The sequence below is a fragment of the Homo sapiens genome, chromosome 1 (genome assembly GCF_000001405.40).
Source record: "Homo sapiens chromosome 1, GRCh38.p14 Primary Assembly".
Classification (NCBI taxonomy): domain Eukaryota; kingdom Metazoa; phylum Chordata; class Mammalia; order Primates; family Hominidae; genus Homo; species Homo sapiens.
The window spans coordinates 35,833,303-35,859,864 of record NC_000001.11 but is presented as its reverse complement, the minus strand read 5'-3'; the positions used below and the strand labels follow the sequence as shown (position 1 = coordinate 35,859,864).

Genomic DNA, 26,562 nt, shown 5'->3' with positions numbered 1-26,562 from the left:
TCAGTCTGTCATTCCCCTACTTACTGGCCACCGTCCCCCTAGGACGGTGGAGTGGGCCCACAAGCCATTCCTGACTGATGTAACACATCCCCGAGAAATTCAGGGATGGACATGAGTATGACACAAGTGGTGGGGGGTGAGGTGGGAATAAGGCCATTTGGACACACGTGAATCATACGAAATAATGAGGGTTCTGGCTGGGTGCGGTGGCTCATGCCTGTAATCCCAGCACATAGGGAGACTGAGGTGGGTGGATCACCTGAGGTCAGGAGTTGGAGACCAGCCTGGCCAACATGGTGAAACCCCGTCTCTACTAAAAATACAAAAATTAGCTGGGTGTGGTGGCACACACCTGTAATCCCAGCCACTTGGGAGGCTGAGACAGGAGAATCGCTTGAACCTGGGGAGGCGGAGGTTGCAGTGAGCCAAAATTTCGCCATTGCACTCTAGCCTGGGTGACAGAGTGAGATTCCATCTCAATAATAATAATAATAACAACAACAAATTTTCTATAATAAAGAGGGATCCTATCTCCCAAAGAAGGAGTAAGGGAAAGCATTTGACCCAGCCTATCAGTCACTTTTTATTGATATCTTTATCCCAGCAACACTGTTTTTTTCTATTTTCCAACTACCCCATGGTTTCTGACTATAAAATGACTAATCAATAACAAGATCTTTCCTTTAATTTTACAAGGAAAAATTCTTGGAGTTGAAGCAGTATTGATACAATGCCCAGCAACACTCTGTTCCTGGGATAAAGATATCAATAGAAAGTGACTGACAGACCTGGTGCGGTGGCTCACAGCTATAATCTCAGCATTTTGAGAGGTCAAGGCGGGAGGATCGCTTGAGCTCAGGAGTTTGAGACCAGCCTGGGCAACATGGCAAAACACCATCTCTACAAAAAAATACAAAAATTAGCAGGGCATGGTGATGCGCACCTCCTGTAGTCCCTGCTACTCAGCAGGCTGAGGTGGCAGGATTGCTTGAGCCTGGGAGGTCAAGGCTGCAGGGAGCTATGATTGTGCTACTGCACTCCAGCCTGGGTGACAGAGTGAGACCCTGTGTTTAAAAAATAATAATAAAATAAAAAAAATAGGCCGGGCATGGTGGCTCACGCCTATAATCCCAGCACTTTGGGACGCCAAGATGGGCGGATCATGAGGTCAGGAAATTGAGACCACCCTGGCTAACACGGTGAAACCCCAAATCTACTAAAAATACAAAAAATTAGCCGGGCGTGGTGGTGGGCCCCTGTAGTCCCAGCTACCAGGGAGGCTGAAGCAGGAGAATGGCGTGAACCCAGGAGGAGGAGCTTGCAGTGAGCCGAGATTGCGCCACTGCACCTGGGCGACAGAGCAAGACTCCGTCTCAAAAATAAATAAATAAATAAATAAATAAATAAATAAATAAATAAATATAGTGACTGACATATAGTAGGCACTCAGTGTTAATCTCGCTGCCTCTTCCTCCATCTCATGCCAAATTAGAATGAATTCTTTGAATAATTTTTTACTCTTCTGTGTTCCCAGCACCTAGGCAGTACATGGCATGTACCCAGTTCATGATAAATGTTTGATAACTGATAAATATGGTGGAGATAGTATACAGATGGAAAAAACAACCGCCTTCTAGTAGAGTTATATGCAGAACTTTCTCCTCTGGCAAACTATAAATTCCCTAAGGAATTGTCCCTGCCATGACTTAGCAAAAGGACTTGCTGGTGAGAATTTTTCTAAAGATGAGACTGGATAGCCCCAGGTTGGATGAATTTGAGCAGCTTCTCCTCTGGAGAAGTTAAGTCTTATAAAGTGTGTGGCCACACTGCCCTCTGGAGACTGCAGATTCTTCTCAAGCATTGCTTAAATAGATCTTCCCATTAAGAGCCATATCCAGAACTCTGATCAATTTTGTAAAAGTTTTCATAAGTGAAGTGTTGCTGAAAAGCTCTTCTAAAATTCTCAAATAGAAATTTCTTTTTTAAAAGTTTTATTTTAGTTTTAATTGACACATAATAATTGTATACCAAATAGCAATTTTTAAAAATAGGGAGACCCAAGAGTTAAAAACACAAAGTTTTTCCACTGTTCTTTGTAAAATTTCTCATACTGAGGAAACTGTTTTTATAAAGCAACCATGTATGTTGCCATTACAGTGTACTGCATACTTATTAGACAATTGACAGGAAAAACAACTTTTGGCACAAGAATGCCAATTTATTCCTTTTTTGGACACATAAACACAAAATATCCCTGCAGGCCAAAAAAAATTGCAAAATTTAAACGACCATCATCTTATCTCAACATGAGGATACAACCCCTCCCTTAATAGTTTAGAAAGTACCTCGTATTGCTAGAGACATACATCCAGTCCAAATTTAATAAAATACATTTTAAAACATTACAGGTCTAATAATATAGAAACAAAAATCACACCATTAGTCAAATGAACAAATGCAAACATTTTCAGCCACTAGACGTAGAAAGAGCATGAATATGTCAATAGCAAGGCATAAGAAAATGGTTAATCAATAACAAGATCTTTCCTTTAATTTTACAAGGAAAACTTCTTGGAGTTGCAACAGTATTGATACAATGCCCTCAGCCTCCACTTTCTTAAAATGAAAGCAGAGCTACCACCTTGCTATTGAGCAAGAAAATATCACAGCACATTCACAAAAGGTCGTTAGGACAGGGTGGAGAGGGTGAGCCTTGTTAAACAGTGGATTATATTTTCCCACTTGAAGGGTAGGCAGCTTTGCCAGGTAGGCAAGCTCTGATAGAGGCTGGGCACCAGATCCTAAAACACAGACCATATAGAACATGTCTGCTTGAAAATCATCACCTTTGGAAGCAGCAAATAGAATTTACAGTAAGAATGAATATGTTCTGCTGCCCAGAACGCTGGCTGCATTAAGCCAGCTAGTTCACTTTATAAACCATTCAGGATTCAACAGCTAAGAACACCACCACCAAAACATAATTGGTTCAACATTTGGGTCATCACCACTCTCTTAATGTCCCCCCCCCCCCTTTTTTTTTTTGAGACAGAGTTTCGCTCTTGTTGCCCAGGCTGGAGTAATAGCTCACTGCACCGTCCACCTCCTGGGTTCAAGCAATTCTCCTGCCTCAGCCTCCCGAGTAGCTGGGATTACAGGCATCCACCACCAGACCCAGCTAATTTTCTGTATTTTTAGTAGAGATGGGGTTTCACCATGTTGGTCAGACTGGCCTCGAACTCTCGACCTCAGCTGATCCGCCCACCTAGGCCTCCCAAAGTGCTGGAATTACAGGCGTGAGCCACCGCGCCCGGCCAATGTCCCCACTTCTTATCCCCAAATTATTACTCTTTAGCGTTGCTACATTTAAATCTTTCACACCACATGACAGTGCCTCAACAGGCTGCATTTAAAAAACAAAACCAAAACCAAACCAAACAGCCTAAAACTACTTCTAGAGAATGCACACCTCCCATTGATTGACACATGCATAACGATTCAGTCAGTCCCGAGGGGGTTACCTATTCAAATTGTCAAGCCGAATTAAAGTAAAACTATGCATTCAGACTTGCTTGCAATCATATTGCTGCAACTCTGATTCTGCAGTGATTAGCTCTAAAGATTCACCCCTCAGCAAGTTTTTGCCAATAATCCCAGCTCTTCCAAATTTCTTTCCTTTTGTCCAAAATGACAGCATTGCACCTTTAATGGTACTATTTTCCTATAAAAATAGGCCTCCCGGCTTTTCTTCCACCACCACACTGATTTACCCCAGTGTACCAGGACTGACTGAGGTCTTACAAGCTGTATTGTTCGAGGTCGAGCGTAGAGCAAGACAAGCTAATCAGGGCTTTCGGGAACATAGCCTTGCTCCCTGCTCCATACATGCCAGGAGATGGTGAGAAGTGATGCTTCTTCTGTGCGTTATTAATAAGCAAGCCCGAGGCACTCAAGTGCAGGTGTGGTGCCCGCTGGCCAGCCAGCCAGTCACCAAGAGTTCTTCACATCTTGGATTCCAGCAAGTCCTCCTTCTCCTAAAAAAGCTTCCGTTTTTTCCTCCTCTTGGGTCCAGAGTGGCCATGCTGAAGGGTATTCTCTGTGCTCTCCCTGAACAAGTGTGAATAAAAGCAGCAGCCAAGCAGCCAGCCCCTCACCAACATGTCCTGATTTGTATTATCCAAGTGAGGTATTTGCAAAAAAAAAAAAAAAAAAGGAAAATTTTAAGAAATTAACATCTGCCATCTCTTCACTCCTGGCTATGTTGTGCTTCATTTTACAGAACTTGCTTTCATCCCACTATCTGCAGGGATTAAGGACGTCTGCACTCAGCTTAATGAGCAACAGGCCTCGATCGACATAAAACTCTCTCAGAGACCAGTCTCAGCAAACACAGGTGGCGCCGTTGATCAACAGCACATGGAAATGTAAACTTCAATGTATTTACAAGTTTATTTAAACGACTGAAGAAAAACAGTGCTTTATATTGCTGGGATTTTGAGAAGGCTAGTTTATGAGATTTGGACCGTCTCATGAGTTCAAGCAAACACCCTTCACCATCATTTCCCCACCAGCAGTTTCCAGGCAGGGGCGGCAAAATTGTTTTCACCCCATTGTGTCTATCTCTTTCCCTAGCTCCTTCCTCAGCCATATAGAGTGTGGCTCCAGGCCTTTTATCCCCTTTTCCATCCCTCACTCCTGATGTCCTGGATAGAGAATTACAAGTCAGTAAACTCTGGGCTGGGAAACACTGGCTGGTGCTACCAAGACACTATGTAACTGTTGTCCATTCACAAAGTATTATCTACACTACATACAGAATACATTTTCCCCTACATTTTAACTGATGCTCGCTTTAGAGCAACTCCCTTTGTTTGGACAAGAAAGGAATCCCATCTCCCTGTGAGTGGAATCCAGAATCTATTAAGAAAAATCAACCTTTTCCACACAGTTTTAGTTTAATAAAAGGAAGGAAAACCCACCAAGTACATTTCATGTCGAAAGAGAAGCAAAAAATTTGTACTGCAAGTAGTCGTGTGAGTTACCTTGATTCCCAGGAAAAGAAATTTTAAATGCTGGTACATTTGCAAGTTGCAGCATCACTCATTGTACCTTAAGGACTGGCAAAGCCTTTCCAATAAGGAAGCATCCTGGTTCTAGCTTATTTTAAAACAAAGTGACAGGACACCAACTGTGAATATAAAACAGGTAAAAATAATTCTTTAAAAAGGCATGGAAATATATGTCTTTTCTGACTGGTTTCAGAAATTGCCAGATTATGATATATAAGAAATAGCTGATAAAATCATACTGAAATCTCATCTAGAAAACTACATTGTTGGGGAAGGAAGAGGAGAGACCTTAAAAAATGTTTATTGCCAAAGTTAAGTTTCTATGAGAAAAGTTTAAAAATCATTTAGATTTAACAAACCACACAGCAGCATAAAATGGGCACTTTTGAAAACTTGGAAAAATACTAAAAGCAATTTTTTTTTCCAAATAGGGGAAACATGAGTACTTTTATCATGGCAGTGTTATCTCCGTCACTGTGACATGCATTACATCTGTTTATGTCACACATTCACAAAAGTCGACCAAATAAGAGAACTGCCTATTTGAATCTGCAGCCAAATATAGTGCAAATTGCCTGTCAGCATGTACTTGCACCAGCACAAGTCTGCAGAGATCAATAAGATAAAGTAGTAAAACTAATAAAACTCTGTAAAACTTTCAAAAATTAATGCTCATTAAAGGCATTTACAGTGGCAAAGTCAGAAATCTTCATTAAAAAGTCTATGGACCCACACAATTAAATAGTTACACTGAACTGAAGTAGATTGTTTGGTTTTTCTCTCCCACTTATGCATATACCCCACTCAATGACTACAGAAAAAAGGAATAATCTTCTCTTCTAAGACTAGAGGGATGCGGTGAACACCACAGCTAGCAAAATATTCCATAGAAACCCTTCTTGTAAAGTCCTTTAGAAAGTTCAGGCTGATCAGCCTTTGCACATTGAGGTAAAAATTCAGTCCAGTGCATCAGAAAAGATAATCTATTAGTATCTATTACTTTAAAAAAATGGCTCAATTTTGTTGACGCATCAGACAGTGCTGCAAAGTATAGATTCAGTGCAACTATTCCGAGCTGCTGGTAGAAGACCACCTGAAGTCAACGTGGCTCGATCTAGAGGCGGTAGGCATTTGAAACATTTTGAGGCTGCATGGGGTGCCAAATTGGTTGAGTTCTTTTTCTGAGACTCTCAGGCAAAATACATCGTGTGCTGGGTATCATGGTGGATTTGCACAGCCTTAGCCAAGGCCTGAGGATCCCGGCCGTTGCTCTGTCCTGACACATGACTGCCTTCCGCACTGTAAAGAGAATAAAACAAAACAAAACAAAGCAAAACAAACAAACAAAAAACCAAAAACAACAACAACAAAAAAACAAAAAACAGGTGTAACAGAAGACCACTTCAAACTTCACACGTTTCAAATAGCACAAACAGTACTAGATTCTAGAATATCTTAGGCTTAAGCTTTAGCTTCTTGAATAATTTGTTATGTCCTTCTAAATATCAGTTGACTCAACTGAATTTCTTTTTTTTTTTTTTTTTTTTGAGACAGAGTCTCGCTGTCTCCCAGGCTGGAGTTCAGTGGCGCAATCTCGGCTCACTGCAAGCTCTGCCTCCCGGGTTTACACCATTCTCCTGCCTCAGCCTCCCGAGTAGCTGGGACTACAGGCGCCCGCCACCACACCCGGCTGATTTTTTTGTATTTTTACTAGAGACGGGGTTTCACCATGTTAGCCAGGATGGTCTCGATCTCCTGACCTCGTGATCCGCCTGCCTCGGCCTCCCAAAGTGCTGGGATTACAGGCGTGAGCCACCGCGCCAGGCCAACTGAACTTCTTTAATGAGCTGCTGCAAGAATTAAATAATATAATGTCTGCAAAGACACAATCCTTAACAGTATCCATATAAAGATTTCCACTGCCCACTATGTCTGGCTAATTTCTTTAGGCTTCAGTCAAATGTCATTTTTCTGCACAGAAATCTTCTTTGACTTTAAGGTCCAGGTCAGAGCCACCTGGAACATGCTTTAACAGAATCCTATATTTTTCTTTCATGGTACTAAACACAATTGAAATTAAATTATTACTTGGGTAATTATTTATTTTCCCACTGGGATATAAACTCCAAGAAAGCAGCAATTTTGTCCACCTTGCTCACCACTGTATCCTTGGTGTCTAGCACATAATACAACAAAGTCTCAATAAACCATTAGTTGAATGAATGCATCTACGTACCTAGCATAGTGATGGAACATAGGAAATTCCCAGCAAATGCTATTGTGCCACCAGTCTCTTCTTGTCTTCCCTTCACTAACTATATAACCTTGGACACATAATAACTCCTCTGAACTTTGGTCTTTCGGAGTAACAACAACAACTTCTAAACATACTACTTAAGGATACCATGTGATATAAAGGGCTTGACAAGCTGTAAATCCCCATCCCTCTTCTGACTTTCTCTTTAAGTGATTATTATCCTTATCATCTAGGCTCAAAATCTTAGCCATCTTTTACTTCACCCTCTCCTCTGACATGCATATCCAATTAACTGTTAAGTCCTGTCTATTCTATCCTAGGAACAGCATTTTACATTTAACAAACACGGTCTTGCTTTAACATATTTTTCCAGCCTCATACCTGCTTGTTCCCCTTTAATATCCTCCAGCCAAAGAAAATTTGCTACTGTACAAACATGCCACTTGCTTTTTCCCCTTTGTGTCCCTTGTTCTCTCTGCCCTGAAAATTCTTTTCTCTTTTTTGTAGAGCCATTCTATCCATCCAGCTATGAAATCTTCTCTAAAAGCCTCTCCTCTGGTGTCCCATTGCACTTTTATCTGTACTGACTTGGGCTACTTGTCAGTTGTATATTTGCCTGTATTGTCTCCCATACTGAAACATAAAATCCCCGTGGACAAGAAACATGTCTTACTCATCTTAGTAATTCTAGCACCTAGCACAGTACTAGGCACACAGTCAATACCTAATAAATATGCCGAATAAATGAAAGCACATTACGGAATGGAAGGTACAAAGCCACAGTTGGACATTTTCCATAATAGTGTATTTTCAACCCTTACAGAAATAGACTTGCAGTGGAATGTCTACTATTTAGCAGCTGAATTCAGACTTGGGGAAGAGCCCAGAAACTGCTACACTTCACAGATGGTCATTTGGAAAAGAAAATTAATGCAGAGAGCTTGTGTAACTATTTAATAGTAGCTCAGGAATAGGTCAAAATAACAGATTCTCTGATTCTCCTGAGATGCCTATTTGAGAGTGAGAATCATCTGTGCCCCCACTCCCACACACACATCCAGGTTCACTCTGGGGTATTTTTCCAGAATGTACCAAAAGCAAAGTGAACTGGTCAGGCCTCCTCACTTGCATGAAGTGGAATCCACAGCCCTGTGACTACTTTGACCGGAGCCAGGGTACTGTGTTGACCACTTTTTGAGGCTACTTAGGACCTGAGCAGAACTGAAATGCATTTGGCTCCATGGGAGAACCACAAGCAGCTCCAAATTAAACTCCTTTAGAGACACAACACAAGTATAAACAAGCCTGAGCACTTCTTGGACCAAAAGTCACATTACAAGCTCTCAGAGGCACATGCAATTTTATTTGCTTCTTACAATTTAAACTCTGAAAGTTTAAATCCTTAAAAAAGTTTTCTATTGTAGCTCATTTTTTTTAACATGCTACTAAAATATAAAGAGACTTTATTGTGCCTAAGAAACTTGCCTGTCATGATCTTTATCCACCAGATGATACCTTGCCCTAAATGCTACAAGCCGGGCATAATATGCAGGGGCTGGAATAGAGACTGAGCGAGTGCACCTCACATAGGTGTGACACAGCTGGTAAGTCAGTAGCTGGAGTTCATCTGCAGTGAAGCAGTTGTCATCCCACAAGACCTGGTAATGTGAGGGACGGCTGGTTCCCTGAGGAGAGAGTTTTATGATTAATGTTTTTTTTTTGTTCGTTTTTTGTTTTTGTTTTTTTTTTTTTTTTTTTGAGATGGAGTCTCACTCTGTCACCTAGGCTGGAGTGCAGTGGTACGATCTTGGTTCACAGAAACCCCCGCCTCTGGACTTCAAACAATTCTCCTGCCTCGGCCTCCCAAGTAGCTGGGACTATAGGTGCACGCCACCATGCCCAGATAATTTTTGTTTTTTTTAGTAGAGATGGGGTTTCACCACATTGGTCAGGCTGGTCTCAAACTCCTGACCTCAGGTGATCTGCCCATTTCGGCCTCCCAAAGTGATTGGATTACAAGCGTGAGCCACCATGCCTGGCCTGATTAATATATTTCTGACATGACACGAGAAGAGAAAATAATTGAAACCTACTCCTTAAACTCAGAAATACTTCTGCCTAGCACACCTACAAGCAGATACCTAGACCAAAAGATAATTCTAGGATACAAGCATTAACAAAGTTAGGCACGGTGTTAAATAACAAGTCGACTCAAGCTAGTTGCTGAATTTGCAAACATCTCCCTATCAAGTCAAAGATCTGAACCAGCTTCCAAATTACCTGAATTCCTGCATGACTACAGAGGTAAAAGTCAAACTCAGATGGATGTGTGATGGTACTATCCACTGTAGTGCCTGCTGGTACATTGCCACTTTTCCCTACCTACAAAAAACAAAAAAAAGTAATTAGTCATCAAAGTGCCAAACTGTGGTCAGGCCATTTTTTTCTTTTGTGTGTTAATTGGGAGCAAGTTGGTAAATGTCTCTTAAGTCTTGAAAATCACTTTCATTCAAGATGTTGAATCCTCTGTAACTTTCCCTTAGCCCAACCATTTTAACCTATAGTATTTTCACAAACAAATATGTTCCAGGATCTCTTCAGGAGGATACGGACAAAAATATTTTACCCGTGGCTTTGGGCTACAACATTATTATGTATTTACAGATGACACAGTGGTATGTTCACAAAGGGAAAAAACATTTAACATTTAAGATAGATAAACTTTCTGAGAAAAAAAGTTTTATTCCTTACTTGGAGTAAAAAAAATTCACAATTTTCAGTAAAAGATTAAGGAATCTTTAAACTGGTTTACCAGGTTCAACATAACTAGTACTTTTTTTTTTTTTTTTTTTGAGACAGCGTCTCACTCTGTCACCCAGGCTGGAGTGCACTGGGAGGATCACAGCTCACTGCAACCTTGGACTCCTGGACTCAAGGAATCCTTTCACCTCAGCCTCCTGAGTAGCGGGGGCTATAGGCACACATGCCATCATGTCTGGCTTTTTTTTTTTTTTTTTTTTGAGACACGGGGTCTAATTTTGTTGCCCAGGCTGGACTCAAACTCCTGGGCTCAAGCAATTCTCCCACCTTGGCCTCCCAAAGTGCTAGGACTACAGGTGCGAGCTACCACATCTGGCAATAACAAATACTTTATTAATAATAAAAAAAAAGTCACTGGCAAATGGTTATCAGGAAGAAAGCACTGAAATGGGAACTAAAAAATCAGTTTCAGATCTAGGCCTAGCCTTGCAACTATATACCTTGAACAAAGCTTATTATCTTTATACCTCAATCTAATCATCTATAAAATTAGGTGATGTTCTCTTACCCTTTTAAAATTCCAAGCAAAAACTCTACAGACAAAATTTGAAAATCAAATTTCTAGGAAGGCAAGAGGGGAACTTCAGAAATGGATTACAAGGGAAGGAATTACATCTTGCTATTTGGTCACCCTCTTCTGCTGTACAGCAGAGTTCAGTATGAACACATTTCTTTAGCATACAGGCACAAATTTGATGGGAGTTTATTTGGCTCCATTTTAACTATTGTTACCTTAAGCTGAAGATCATACACCTATGCATACATAACTCTATGAGTATAGAAAAATCTCCTTCCATCAAATGCATATGTGATCTTGGGTTCCTAGCTGGATCAGAAGAAATCTAGTTGGTTCTAGCATTTTTTTTTCCCCAAAGTGTGTTCTTTAGGAATATTAGCTTTGCAGGATGTGTTTAGGTATTTTATGGTGAAACAAACCTGAGAAATATGGGATCAAATTAAAGTTAAAAGTATTTTTCTACTGTATGACTCAAAACCTTTATTTAGTCATGTATAATCTTTAAAAGGGATATAAAGTATATAGCATTTTCTAAATTTATTTTACCCTTAAAAAAAAAAAAAACTCTCTGGTTCTACATATGACAGCCTGAAGAGGTGATGCCTTGGAGAAAAGGGAATCCAGGCCTTTTCAATTCACCAGTTATTGCTTGAGCACCCATATGACTGCTAGGCTCCGCAGCAGATGTTGGGGATGACAGCCAGGGGCATCAAGAGAACTAATAAACTTGCCTTCCTGACTTCATGAAAAGTGTATACAATAAACTGTAACACAATGTCATAAGGGCATATGGGAAGCATTGGGAAAAGCTGATGAGGAGGAAATAGGTGAGCCATGCCTTATAAGTAGGAGCTGAAAAGGGAAGTTGGGTAAAAAACAGGAAACACTCCAAATACCCCTAAACTCAGAAATGGATAAGCAAACTGTGGCTCATCCACATTATGAAATACCACTCACAATAAAAAGGGGCAAATTACTGATATATACACAACTTGGATGAATCTCAAATGCCAGACTCAAGGGCTATGATTCTATTTATATGATGTGCTGGAAAAAGCAAAACTGTAGGAACAGAATACATATCAGTGGTTGCCAAGGGCTGGGAGTGAAGGAGAAAGGTTAACTACAAAAGGACACCTGAAGATTTTTTGGTATGACAGAATTATTATACAGTCAGCCCTTGGTATCCACAGGTTCTGCATTCAGGAATTCAACCAACTGTGGATATTCTTTAAAAAGGTTTGGATATTCTAATTATACCCTGATTTGATCACTGCACATTATTTGTATAAGAATTCCTATGTAACCCATAAATGTGTATAATTATTATGTCAATTAAAAATAAATAAAAATATAAATTTTAAAGACCTGACACAAATACAGAAAATTGTTAACATGTTTAAAAATTTAATTTTAATATGAAAAAAATTAAAAACAATAAAACATAGCATTTACACTGTATTCGGTACTAAAGCAACCTAGAAAAATATTTAAAATAATTCAACAGTAAAAACTTATACACATTTTAAAATATAGTATAACAACTATTTAAGCCTTTACATTGTATTAGGTATTATAAGTAATCTAGAGATCTTTTAAAGCAAGCTTGTCCAACATGCAGCCCAGGATGGCTTTGAATGTGGCCCAGTACACATTTGTAAACTTGGGCCGGGAGCAGTGGCTTTCATGCCTGTAATCCCAGCACTTTGGGAGGCCAAGGCAGGCAGATTACTTGAGCTCAGGAGTTCAAGACCAGCCTGGCCAACATGGTGAAACTCCATCTCTACTAAAAATCCAAAAATTAGCTGGGCATGGTGGCATGTGCCTGTAATCCCAGCTACTCGGGAGGCTGAGGCAGGAGAATCACTTGAACCCAGGAGGCAGAGGTTGCAGTGAGCCGAGACTGAGCCATTGCACTCCAGCCTGGGTAACAGAGCGAGACTCAGTCTCAAAAAAAAAAAAAAGACCAAAAACAAATTTGTAGACTTTCTTAAAACATTATGAGATTTGTTTGTGATTTTTTTTTTTAGCCCATCAGCTATGGTTAGTGTATTTTATGTGTGGCCCAAGAAAATTCTTCTTCCAATGTGGTCCAAGGAAGCCAAAAGATTGGACACCCCTGTTTTAAAACATATGGGAGGATGTGCATAGGTTATATACAATTACTATACCATTTTTGTTTTTTGAGATGGAGTCTTGCTATGTTGCCCAGGCTTGTCTCAAACTCCTGGACTCAAGTGATCCTACTGTCTCAGCTTCCTAAGTAGCTGGGACTACAGGTATGCACCACCACGCCTTGCTTACTGTACCATTTTATATCAGGGACTTGAGCATATGTGGATTTTGGTATCTGCAGCAGGTCCTGGAACCAATCCCCCATGGATTCTGAGGGATGACTGTGTATTTTTATTGTGGTGATGCCTACAGAACTGTATGTATTTGTCAAAACTAGGGCCAGGTATGGTGGCTTATGCCTGTAATGCCAACACTTTGGGAGGCTGAGGTGGGAGGACCACTTGAGTCCAGGAGCTGAAGACCAAACTGGGGAACAAACTTAGACCCTGTCCCTAAATATATATATATATATATATATATATCTTTTTTTGAGATGGAGTCTCACTCTGTCTCCCAGGCTGGAGTGCAGTGGTGCCATCTCAGCTCACTGCAAGCTCCACCTCCCGGATTCACGCCATTCTCCTGTCTCAGCCTCCCGAGTAGCTGGGACTACAGGCGCCTGCCACCACATCCGGCTAATTTTTTGTATTTTTAGTAGAGACAGGGTTTCACCGTGGTAGCCAGGATGGTCTCGATCTCCTGACCTTGTGATCCGCCCACCTCAGCCTCCCAAAGTGCTGGGATTACAGGTGTCAGCCACCGCACCTGGCCCACAGAGGACTATTTTCTAAATGCGTATGGAGGGACTGGAAATGGGGCAAAGAATTTAAAGACAACTCTGAAGTTTCTAGCTTGGCTGACTTAATATACAGTGATGCCAAGTAATAGAATAAAAGGAAAATTGGGGAGGAATAGGTTTTGGATGGGGATAAAACAATAAATAGAAGGTTTAGACATGCTTTGCTTGAAATGCCTGTGGTAGATTGTATTACTGGTGCCAAACATTCCCATGCCCCTGCCTGGGGGAGGATTATACATCCACACCCAATTATCTCAGGGGTGACTTGCTTTGGCTGATAAAATGTGGCCTGAAATGTGTTACTTCTGGGCCAGCACATGGCTTGTCATGTATCTTTTTTCCTCTCTGCCAGGATGACTGGCAGTGTTCCAGATAGATGCTTCTTTGTCAGCCTAGGTTCCAAAGGGAGGACAGCAGGGTCACAGCTGCAGCAGAGCCACAATGAATGTGTAATATGATCAAAAAGCAAGTCTTTGTAAGCCACTACGATTTGGGTTTTTGTTGTTGTTTTTGGCCTATCTTGACTGATGCAGTGCCTATAGAGAATCTAAGCAAATATGTCTGGTAGATAACTGGGAGTACAAATCAGGAGCTGAAGAGTAGATTGGGGCTGGAAATACAGATTTAGTAATCTACAAGCAAGGGAATTCGCCCAGAAAAGTGGATGACACTATAGAGAGGGCTGAAATTGAGAAGAGAAGAGAGAGAAGTATGAAATGTCGGGAAATATCAGTGTTTAATGGAGAGAGGGAGAAAGAGGAATCAAAAAAGTCTGATTACAGGCCGGGCACAGTGGCTGACATCTGTAATCCCAGCACTTTGGGAGGCCGAGGTGGGTGAATCACTTGAGGTCAGGAGTTCGAGACCAGTCTGGCCAACATAGTGAAACCCTGTCTCTACCACAAATACAAAATTAGCTGGGCATGGTGATATGCGCCTGTAATCCCAACTACTTGGTAGGCTGAGGCAGGAGAATTATTTGAACCCGGGAGGCAGAGATTGCAGCAAGCCGAGATCATGACAGAGTGAAACTCTATCTTAAAAAAAAAAAGCCTGATTACAGAAACTCCATTTCAAAAAAAAAAAAAAAAGTCTGATTACAGAAACTCCATTTCAAAAAAAAAAAAAAAAAGTCTGATTACAGAAACTCCATTTCAAAAAAAAAAAAAAAAAAGTCTGATTACAAAGGTGGGTAGTAAAGCTGGAAAGTCACTTTGCTAAGGCCAAATAAGGCAATCATTGTCTTAAGTGCTACAAAGAAGTCAGTGTGGGAATCTGACAAAGTATCTCTTGATTTGAAATGAGCAAGTCATTGAGACAACAACTTCAATGGAGTCACTGAAATTGAAGTTAGGCTACAGAAAATTAAAGTTTGATGTGAGAAAGTACAGATAGAAAGTCAAGTGATTGTTTTTCTCAAAGTTTAGTCGTGAAAGGAAGAAAAGATAAGGTAGCAGTGAGACTGAGGGAGAAGCAGGGTGAGGTGAACTCAGGAAGATTTAAACCACCTTTATAGGGCGAGAAGGAGGCAACAGAACACGAAAGAGTGACGTTTTGAAAAATAATGCGTAATTGACCAAGTAAGGCTCTAGAGAAGTCAGGAGGGATTAGGATTGAAAGCACAGGATGGGGGCAGGAAAGCATAGGTGGAGAGATACGAGGAAGGAGATAGGAAAATACAAGATGTAACTGAGTTTGAAAGTAGAGGAGAGGCAGCTGAGAAAATTCTTGCCTTCTAGATCTTGTTTTTGGAGGGAAATAGACGATAGGACTTTGTTGGCAATAGAGTTATTATGAATAGGGTAGGGGACTTGAGAAGAGTATAAAGGTGTGGAACAGATGCTATGGGGAATAGGGTAAATGAAAAAACGGCAGCATCCAAGGCCTGGCTGAGATTTGCTCTCATGAATTTGTAATATGGTTCTTTATTAAACAGACACTTTTGGACAGGTGTGGTGGCTCACGCCTGTAATCCTAGAACTTTGAGAGGCTGAGGTGAGCTGATCACTTGAGCCCAAGAGTTCAAGATCAGCCTGGACAACATGGTGAAACCCCATCTCTACAAAAAATACAAAAAAAGTAGCCAAGAGTGATGGTGAGTGCCTGTAGTCCCAGCTACTTGGGAGGCTCAGGTAGGAGGATCACCTGAGCCTGGGGGCATCTAGGCTGCCATGAGCCATAATCATGCCACTGCACTCCACCCTGGGTGACAGAGTGAGATGAGACCCTGTTCCAAAAAAATAAAATCCACCACTTTTCCCCCAGCAATTTCTATCAGCCTAAGAGTAGAGGCAAAATAAATGGGCAAGTGGATTGGCAAGAGGCATGCTTAGAGAATTGAAGATATTAGTAAATGTCAGGGTACAAAGTAGACCAAGAACTGGAACTGTCAATTTTGAAAGATTTAAAGAATAAAACTATGAGATAGCTTAATAATAGCTTAATAGATAGTTTAGGAAGACAAGCCTGAAGAAGAAGATCTTAAATCTACATGGATAACAAGTTGACAGACAGGTGGAGAGATGACAACAGTTAAGGAGAAGGTGGCAGGAGGTTTTGTGCCCAGAGGTCAGGCAAGAGTTCAACGAATTTGTATTAGCAAAGTCTAAGAAGTACTATTTTTTTTTTCACAGCATATCTTTTATTTATTTATTTTATTTGACATGTGCTGGTCTATTTTTTATTTAAATTTTTATATATTTTGGGGGCACAGGTACAGATTTCTTATATGTGTATGTTACAGAGAGGTAAAGCCCAGTTGGTAAGAAGTACTATTAACTCATGGTTTCAGCAATTTAAAGACAGCCCTTTTAATTTAAAACAGCCCTTTTAATTTAAGACAGTCCTTTTAATCTAAGCTGATTGGATCTGGGGCCCAATGAGAAAACAACCTTGATTCAGAAAACAAAAAGAAACAGTTCAGGCCAAGCACGGCGGCTCACACCTGTAATCCCAGCACTTTGGGAGGCCGAAGCAGGTGGATCACCTGAGGTCAGGAGTTCAAGACTGGATTGGCTAACATGGTGAAACCCCGTCTCAACTAAATATACAAAAATTAGCTGGGCATGGTGGTGGGCGCCTATAATCCCAGCTACTCAGGAGGGTGAGGCAGGAGAATCGCTTGAACCTCGGGAGGCAGAGGTTGCAGTGAGCCAAGATTGTGCCGTTGCATTGCAGCCTGGGTGACAAGAGCAAAACTCGGTCTCAAAAAAAGAGAAAAAAGAAACAGTTCATCCTCGGATTAGAGACAAAAAAACTAGAGTGTACTTGAAAATAATGGGAGTGGCAAACAAGATTACATGATTAGGCAACAGAAAGATCTGGTCTTCCTAGGGGTGGATCAGAGAGGGCCTGGACAAGATGAAGTAAAGTCATTAAAAAATATCAAAGAAGCAAGATTATCTATTAATAATATAGGTTGGGCATTCTCTACCTGAAATGCCTGGGGATTAGAGGTGTTTTGGATTTTAATTTTTTTTTGTTTTCTTTTAGGCAGAGTCTTGCTCTGTGCAGGCTGGAGTGCAGTGGTATGATCTCGGCTCACTGCAACCTCTGGCTCCTGGGTTCAAGCGATTCTCCTGCCTCAGCCTCCTGGATACCTGGGACTACAGGCGTGCACCATTACGCCCAGCTAATTTTTGTATTTTCAGTAGAGATGGAGTCTCACCATGTTGGCCAGGCTGGCCTCGAACTCCTGACCTCAAGTGATCGCCCGCCTCAGCCTCCCAAAGTGCTGGGATTACAGGCGTGAGCCACAGCGCCAGGTCAGATATTGTTCTTAACCACATTTTACAGATGAGAATATTATGGCTTAGAGAAGTTGAGTAATTTGACTGTGGTTTAAGTGCGACACTATAAATATTCAAAGTCTGTGCCCTATGAATCTTCTATGCCAGCAGTCCTCAACTTTTTTGGCAGCAAGGACAGGTTTCATGGAAGACAATTTTTACATGGATGAGGGTAGGGGAGCGGCGGGGAGATGGTTTTGGGATGAAACTGTTCCACCACTGCTGATCTGACAGGAGGCAGAGCTCAGGTGGTAATGATCATTCACTGACCACTCACCTGCTGTGCAGCCTGGTTCCCAACAGGCCACAGACTGTTACCAGTCCACAGTCTGGGGGTTGGGGACCCGTGTCCTATGCGGATATAAAATTATTTGGAAGATAAATTCTTCTTTATACCCTAGAACTGTGCAGCAAAAAGTAACAAATAACAAAAGCACCCCTTAGAAGGTTGCCTATATCATCACAATGTACCTGGCATGTTTCTGACCTACTCCCCCCGACACAAAAACAACTCGAGAAATCAGCATTTCTGTTATACAAGAGAAATAAAATATTCAGTCTCAAAACTCGTATCATTCAGAATTGGTCATCTAAACCCAACTGCAGTTAAATTATTATCAGGCATTTCTGCTTTTAAGAAAAAAATTGTATAAAAATGGTGTATATATATATATATATATATATATATGTGCATATATACATCTCTTGCCAGAGCCTCAGATAACAAAGCTTATATTATATCTTCTTACCCTTTCTGTTTTATCTGCACAGAAGAGTCGTGTGTGATGTCTTTTTTGCACCACAATATAAGTTATTCCTGGCCGGTAATCTTCTTCCAAGCTAATACATGCCTTTCGAATTGCTATTAGTTCTGGCCAAGCTACCTAGAAGACAGAAATGGAATTATGTTTAATTGAGAATTTGCCTAGTATCTCTCAGATCTACCCAGAATGGTAGATGAGAGGAATCTCCCTCAGACTCCTAGGGGCCCCGAAGGGCAACAGGGATAATGAGAGTACCTGTTTCATTTGTCCCTCAGATACCCCTCCACGGTAATAGATGATCCGAGTGGGTTTGAAGCGTGTGGATTTGTAGAACTGAATCAGCAGCTCTCGAACCATGTTAGTCAGGTCCTGGATGACCTCTTGACTGTAGAGGAGCTCTTGGGAGATCTCCTGCCGGGAAGTCTGCACCCGAACGGTGGCACAGTACCGGCTGGGGTGGCCATCCATACTGCCAACCACAGCAGCAATGGAAGGTTTCTTCCCATCCCCTGCTGGGGGGTGTGTGACATCCGCTCCCAGGAAGATGACAGGCTGCTGGAACACCGAGGGCCTGCTCAGATTTAAGGAGATGTTGCCACTCAGACATATAAGTGAAAATGTTTGAGTTTAGCAAGATTATATCACCAGATATAATCAGATATAACCTTATAAGAGAGAACAAAGACTTAAGCCCATTGGGAAAGAACACTACGGACCACTGAATATTGATGTCACCCAGTACAGTGACTCTGGACTGACTGAAGAAGTGAACATGGCTCTTCTATAACAGTAGGAAGAGAAGATTTAAAAAACAGGACCTAGGCTGGGCACCTTGGCTCATACCTATAATCTCAGCACTTTAGAAGGCCAAGGAGGAAGGACTGCTTGAGCCCAGAAGTTCAAGGCCAGCCTGGGCAATATATCAAGACCCAGGTCTCTACAAAAAATAAGAAAGCCCAGCGTGGCAGCGCCTGCCTGTAGTCCCAGTTACTTGGGAGGCTGAGGCAGAAAAAAACATTTAAGCCCAGGAGTTTGAGGCTGCAGTGAGTTATGTACTATACTACACTGTACTGTGTCACATCACTGTACTCCAGCCTGGGTGACAGAGTAAGACCTTGTCTTTAAAAAAAGAAAAGAGGCCGGGCGTGGTGGCTCACGCCTGTAATCCCAGCACTTTGGGAGGCCAAGGCAGGAGGATCACCTGAGGTCAGGAGTTGGAGACCAGCCTGGCCAACACGGTGAAACCCTGTTTCTACTAAAAATACAAAAATTAAGGCCGGGCATGGTGACTCACGCCTGTAATCCCAGCACTTTGGAAGGCTGAGGCAGGCAGATCACTTGAGGTCAGGAGTTTGAGACCAGACTGGCCAACATGGTGAAACCCTGTCTCTACTAAAAAATACAAAAATTAGCCAGGTGTGGTGGTGTGTGCCTGTAATCCCAGCTACTCAGAAGGTGGAAGAGGCAGGAGAATCACTTGAACCAGGAAGGTGGAGGTTGCAGTGAGCCAAGATCACACCACTGCACTCCAGCCTGGGTGACAGAGCAAGACCGTCTCAAACAAACAAAAAAAAAAATTAGACGGGCATGGAGGCGCTCACCTGTAATCCCAGCTACTGGGGAGGCTAAGGCGGGAGAATCACTTGAACCCAGGAGGTAGAGGTTGCAGTGAGCCAGGATCACGCCACTGCACTCCAGCCTGGGTGACAGAGGAAGACTCCATCTCAAAACAAAACAAAACAAAACAATACCCTTTTTTTTTTTTTTTTGAGACAGGGTCTCACTCTGTTGCCCAGGCTAGAGTGCAATGGCATGATCTCAGCTCACTGCAGCCTCAACCTCCTGGACTCAGGTGATTCTCCCACTTCAGCCTTCCAGATAGCTGGGATAAATTCTTAAAGGTAGGATTTGGGACTGCGAGTGTTAATTCTTCAAGTGTAATTTAAGAGGCATCCCATACTTGACAACCTCATATAATAGGTACTAAAGGTAAGGTCCCATGGGAGAAGAGGCTGTGTCCCATTTATCTCTCTGTATCATCACAGAACATAAGCCTGGCACAGAGAAGTTAATAACAGCGGACATATATAGGCAACACACATATATATAACATAACAGCTTACATATACAACGTACCAGCCACTATGCTAAGCACTTCACACGTGTTAACTCATTTAGTCCTTAAAATTTTATGAGGGTGGTACAATTATTATCTCAATTTTTCCAGATAAAAAATAAGACATAAGAGGATAAAGAATGTTCCCAAGATCACACAGCTAGGAGAGGAAAAGCTGCAATCCAAACCAAAGAAGTTTAACGCCAAAGTATGCACTCTAAGCCACTACACTATATTGTCTCAAATGTTTGGGTTAAAATTAAATGAAGACAGACTTTAGGTTAACTTCCCCTATGGCCCATATATCTCATCACTAATGTTTAAGGAGGGATTTATTTACCTAGAAGTTTCATCCAAGGACAAAAATGAGAACTGTGTTGGGAGGCTGAGCGGGTGGATTGCTTGAGCTCAGGAGTTTGAGACCAGTGTGGGCAACATGGAGAAACCTCGTCTGTATGAAAAATACAAAAAATAAGCCAGGCGTGGTGGTGCACACCTGTGGTCCCAGCTAGTTGGGAGGCTGAGGTGGGAAGATTGCTTGAGCCTGGGAGGCGGAGTTTGCAGTGAGCCGAGATTGTGCCACCGCACTCCAGCCTGGGTGACAAAGTGAGACACTGTCTCAAAAAAATAAATAAATAAGAAATAAGAAATCAACTAATCAAGTTGACAAAATATGCTAAGATTAAATTAAAAAAAAAAGAGAACTGTGATATGATTGCGTAAGAGCAAGGCACTCAATTTCATCTTCAAGTATGGCAATGACTAATACCACAGCCCCAAATTTAACTCTTCAAATCACTTTCACACATAGTATTTCACAGAAAAACAACACTTTCAAGTTAACAAGGCAGATATTATTATCTGGATAGATAAGGAACTGAGGCCCAGAGATATTAGAAATTCACATGCGTAACAATACTCAAATCTCCCAATGCCCAGCCAGCACTTTGTCTATCATATCCCTGTCTTGCCTTGGTGTTTGCTTACTCTAGAGTCAATCTGACAAACTCAAATTTAAACAACAACAAAAAAAACCTATGAAGGGAGGGACAGACAGGGTTTCTTAAAAGGACATAAAAAGATTGATTCAACTCAGTCCTATTAACATTTTCTGTTCATCAAAAGCCACTGTTGACCAGGCATGGTGGCTCACGTCTATAATTCCAACACTTTCAGAGGCCAAGGTGGAAGGATCACTTAAGCCCAGGAGTTCAAGACCAGCCTGGACAACACAGCAAGACCTCATCTTTAAAAAAAAATTTAAGGCTGGGCATAGTGGCTCATGCCTATAATCCCAGCACTTTGGGAGGCCAAGGTGGGCCGATTGCTTGAGGTCAGGAGCTCAAGACCACCAGCCTGGCCAACATGGTAAAGCCCTGTCTCTACTAAAAATACAAAAATTAGCCGAGTATGGTGGCATGAGCCTGTAATTCCAGCTACTCGGGAGGCTGAGGCAGGAGAATCGCTTGAACTCAGGAGGCGGAGGTTGCAGTGAGCCGAGATTGCATCACTGTACTGCAGCCTGGGTGACAGAGTGAGACTCTGTCTCAATAAATACATAAATAAATAAATAGGCAGGCATGGTGGCACATTCCTGTAGTCCCAGCTACTCAGGAGACTAAAGCGGGAGAATCGCTTGAGCTGGGGAGATTGAGGCTGCAGTGAGTCATGATTGCCCCACTGCACTCCAGCCTGGGTGACAGAGTGAGACCTTGTCTTAAAAAGAAAAAAACAGAAAACCCACAATTTAGGAGAGTGAAAAGGCAAAGCACAGACTAGGAGAAGATAATCTGCCTATCCTGTTTGCCTATAGGATATCTGTATCTTGTGAAGGACCAGAAACCACAAAGAACTACTACAAATTAATGAAAAAGACTCACAACCCAATATAAAAAAATGAGCAAAGGACTGAACAGGTCCATTATAAAAGAAGATGTTTAGGCTAGGCATGGTGGCTCATGCCTGTAATCCCAGCACTTCGGGAGGCTGAGCCAGGAGGACTGTTTGAGCTCAAGAGTTCTAGACCAGCCTGGTCAACAGGACAAAACCCTGTCTCTATAAAAAATAAAAACATTAGCCGAGCATGGTGGTATGAGCCTGTAGTCCCAGCTACTTGGGAGGCTGAGGTGGGAGGATCAGTTGAAGGCCAGGAGTTTGGGTCTTCAGTGAGCCATGATCACATCACTGCACTCCAGCCTGGAAGACAGAGTGAGACCCTGTCCCAAAAAAAAAAACAGGCCAGGCGCGGTGGCTCACGCCTGTAATCTCAGCACTTTGGGAGGCTGAGGTAGGCGGATCACTTGAGGTCAGGAGTTCAAGTCCAGCCTGGCCAACATGGTGAAACCCTGTCTCTACTAAAAATACAAAAAAATAGTGGGGCATGGTGGTGTGCACCTGTAATCCTAGCTACTCAAGAAGCTGAGGTGGTAGCATTGGTTGAACCTGGGAGGTGGAGGTTGCAGTGAACCAAGATCATGCCATTGCACTCCAGCCTGAGTGACAGAGCAAGACTCCATCTCAAAACAAAACAAACAAACAAAAATATAAAGATGTCCAAATGGCTAATGAGCATATGAAAATGTGCTTAACATCATTACTCATTAAGGGAATGCAAATTAAAACTATAATGAGATACTATTATCCCCAAGCAAAATGGCTAAAATTAAAAGGACTGATACTACCAAGTGTTGGTAAGAATATAGAGCAAGTAGAACTCTCAGTGTAAGTGTAAATTGGTACAACCACTTTGGAAAACTATTTGACTGTATCTATTAATAGTAAATATATGTATTCTCTGTAACTCTATTCTCCGTAACTCAGTAATTACACTCCTGGAATTCCACACAACAGAAAGAGTGTTTCAGTTCACCAAAAATGTAGAATTGTATAATGAATGTATGAAAATATCCAAGGCCGGGCACAGTGGCTCACGCCTGTAATCCCAGCACTTTGGGAGGCCGAGACGGGCGGATCACAAGGTCAGGAGATTGAGACCATCCTGGCTAATATGGTGAAACCCCGTCTCTACTAAAAATACAAAAAATTAGCCGGGTGTGGTGGCAGGTGCCTGTAGTCCCAGGTACTGGGGAGGCTGAGGCAGAAGAATGGCGTGAACCCGGGAGGCGGAGCTTGCAGTAAGCCGAGATCGCATCACTGCACTCCAACCTTGGGGGACAGAGTGATCAATAGTAGAATAAATTAAAATTGTGTCGTTTATTCATGAAATGAAATCATACACAACAATGAAAAAGAATAAACTACTCCCAAGTGCAACAACACAAATTAACCTCACAGACATAATGTTGAACAAAAGAAGACCAACACAAAATAGTACATCCTGCATGATTCCATTTATATGAAGCTCAAAAATGGGCAAAAGTAATCTGGATAGGTGATAGACATCAGAATGGTGGTCACCTTTGGGGGTTATCTATTTGGAGGGGCCATAAGGAAGGCTGATGGGGTGCTGGAAATGTTCTATATCTTTATCTGGGAATTGGGTATATGGGTGCATATATATACAAGAGAAAAGGTAATCTAGATGCATATATAATATTTGTGTGCTTTCCCATAAATTATGTAAGTTAGATCTTAAACAAAAGTGGGGAAAGCATTCAGAATCTTACCTTTGATGAGGCACAAGCACATTGTTAATTCCTCCAAGTTTTGCATTTATCTTCAGGCAAAGATTGGAAAGGGTTTGAGGTGAGGTCTTCACTACATTTTTTACCTGGACACACTGTGTGGCCATACCTAGAAGGGTATCTCCAACACGTTTCACCTCCGCTACAAAAATAATTTATTAATTTTAACATGTTTAAATGGTCTCCTAATTACTAAAAGCAGAAGGAAAAAAACCCCACACATTAACTTTATAACCTACTATATACTGTACACTGTGCTAGATGCTTCTCATGTGTCTTCCTTTTATCTGCTAAACCCCCAGGGCAATTTTTCCCCCTGTGTTTGGATAGGCCCTCCCTTCTCTCCTTTTTTCCCTCCTGCAGGCCCTGCAGCCAGTCTGCTTCCTTTATTCTCTGTGCTGCCTGCCACGACTTGCTCAGCTCCTTGATGCTCCTCTTCCCACATGACTGATTTAGCAAAAGAATCAATCTTCCCAGCTCCTCCCTCTCAGTACACACACCGGCCCTTTGAATTTTATTTTATTTTGTTTTGTTTTGTTTTGCTTCCTTTTTCTTTCTTTAAGTACTAGAGATAACTGTAGAGAGAAGGTTAAAGACATTTTATAAAGTTTAAAACTGGGGCCAGCCACAGTGGCTCACATCTGTAATCTCAGCACTTTGGGAGGCCAAGGCGGGTGGATCACTTGAGGTCAGGAGTTCAAAACCAGCCTGGCCAACATGGTGAAACCCCATCTCTACTAAAAATACAAAAATTAGCTGGGTGTGATGGCACGTGCCTGTAGTCCCAGTACTTGGGGGGGCTGAGGCAGGAGATGGCACGTGCCTGTAGTCCCAGTACTTGGGGGGCTGAGGCAGGAGAATCACTTGAACCCAAGAGGCGGAGGCTGCAGTGAGTCAAGATTGCGCCACTGCACTACAGCCTGGATGACAGAGCAGGACCCTGCCTCAAAAAAAAAAAAAAAAAAAAAAGTTTAAAACTGGCTGGGCGTGCTGGCCCATGCCTGTAATCCCAATGCTTTGGGAAGCCCAAGGCAGGTGGATGGCTTGAGCCCAGGAGTTCAAGACCATCCTGGGCAACACGGCAAAACCCTATCTCTATAAAAAATACAAAAATTAGCTGGGCGTGGTTGTGGGCACCTGTATTCCCAGCTACTCGAGAGCCTGAGACGGGAGAATCACTTGAGCCCAGGATTGTGAGGCTGAGATGGGCAGTGATCATGACACCGCACTCCAGCCTGGGTGACAGAGCTGAGATTCTGTCTCATCAACAATAATAGTTCCTATATCCTTTATTTAAATGATAGCCAAAATAACTTTGTATCATTCTTCTTATAATAGATACAAAGTAAGCAAATCCTCTTCTGGAAGTGGCACTCTTCCTCACTCTCATATTCCTAAGTGCTTTTCACCAAATATTTCCAGTTCTCTCAGCTTCCAGGCCTATGGTAGTATCACACTACATTCTCAATGCCCATCCCCACTGCTCCCACGCAAGTTGGGTAAGGCCATATGGCTGGTTGTGGCCAAGGAGTTGCAGAGAGAAAAAAGAATGTGGGGCCAGCAACATTCCAAATAGCAGCTGCTCTGCCAAGCTGGGTCCCCAAATGGAGATGACATGATGACACAGAGCAGAAGCCGCAGTCTACCTTCAGTGGATGCATAACAGGAGCAAGAAACAAATCTTTGTTGTTGTGAACCACTGAGAGTTTGAGGTTTGTGACTGCAGCATAACCTAGCTTATCCTGACTGTTATATCTACTGCTTGAAATCATCCCTCATTCAGCATTAAAAGGGTCCATACCATATACTGGTGTCTTTCCAGGCAGGATAACCACTATTAGCTGTAGGCCCACATAAGTCATTTTCAGATGTTTAAACATAGGCTCCACACTGTCTGCACCTTGTGCATACTTGCAGAAACATGGCTGACCCTGGATGGGCATTCCTGCATCCTTAGAGATTTTACGCAGCTGGTCAGTGAAACTCCTGTTAAAATAGAACCAGTAACACGGTTTTTTTCATTTCAGAGTACATTTCTAGCATTCATTTTCCTCTGAAATACTTCCTTCAGTTTTGTAAATTCTTAGCCAAATTTAGAAACAAGTAAACAAATAAATAAAAATCTTTAACTGGTTGCCAAAAATGGACTGGCAATTGCAATTAAACTTGCAATTTAACTTGCAGTTAAACAGAAAAGAATCTGTATTACTAAGCTATCAGATTATCAACTGAAATTTTTAAATAATTATGTGCAGCTGAACTAGAATAGCATTGCTGTTCAAAGATCTTTTAAACATTCGAATCAATAATTCTGGACTGAAGAAAAGCAGGGTCAAAATTTCAGGTAACGTGCATTTTGGTAAGCCTGGTACAGAAATAGCTGGGTAAGCTTGTGCTCAACTGAGAACACAGAGACATGCTGTTACAAAATCAGTGTATTTAGGACTACATTCAAACTTGGAACAGATTTGGTTCAATAAAAATGTCAAAAGAAATCATCACTTAAAAAAAGCAAAATTCACTTTGAAGTTTTAAATTTTAGATTTGAGAAGTTACTTCAATCTATGTATAAAGCTTTCAGAATTCCTTTGGTGCATTTGCCAATATTTTGTAGAATTCCTTTCTTTCACTCTAGTTCCCTTTTCTTAATTTTTTTTCACTCTTCTCCCTAAT

At 41.8% G+C, this 26,562-nt stretch overlaps 1 protein-coding gene across 11 annotated transcripts in view, besides 1 other annotated feature; it reads right to left on the bottom strand.

Annotated features, from left to right (window-relative positions):
* Nucleotides 1-1,974: 1,974 nt before the first annotated feature.
* AGO4 (argonaute RISC component 4) overlaps nt 1,975-26,562 on the bottom strand; it is a 50,255-nt gene continuing 25,667 nt past the window's right edge. For 5 of the 11 annotated variants that reach the window (XM_005270578.4, NM_017629.4, XM_005270579.4 and 2 more), the window contains 7 exons: nt 25,691-25,875; nt 23,872-24,031; nt 18,385-18,700; nt 18,115-18,249; nt 9,607-9,708; nt 8,812-9,011; nt 1,975-6,368 (listed from right to left, as the gene is read on the bottom strand). In XM_005270578.4, the coding sequence (XP_005270635.1) occupies nt 6,260-6,368; nt 8,812-9,011; nt 9,607-9,708; nt 18,115-18,249; nt 18,385-18,700; nt 23,872-24,031; nt 25,691-25,875 (1,207 nt within the window). In that variant the 3' untranslated portion in view covers nt 1,975-6,259. Of the gene's footprint in view, nt 6,369-8,811; nt 9,012-9,606; nt 9,709-18,114; nt 18,250-18,384; nt 18,701-20,585; nt 20,697-23,871; nt 24,032-25,690; nt 25,876-26,562 lie in introns of those variants that run through there. The other 6 variants (NR_146062.2, XR_001737019.2, XR_246244.4 and 3 more) reach the window with 5 other exon arrangements.
* Nucleotides 10,296-10,448: a silencer, noted in NCBI's record as "fragment chr1:36315018-36315170 (GRCh37/hg19 assembly coordinates)". NCBI's record gives its function as "represses an EF-1alpha promoter that drives an FKBP-Casp9 reporter gene in an ReSE screen in K562 erythroleukemia cells {active_cell/tissue: K562}" and the evidence as "EXISTENCE:reporter gene assay evidence [ECO:0000049][PMID:32094911]".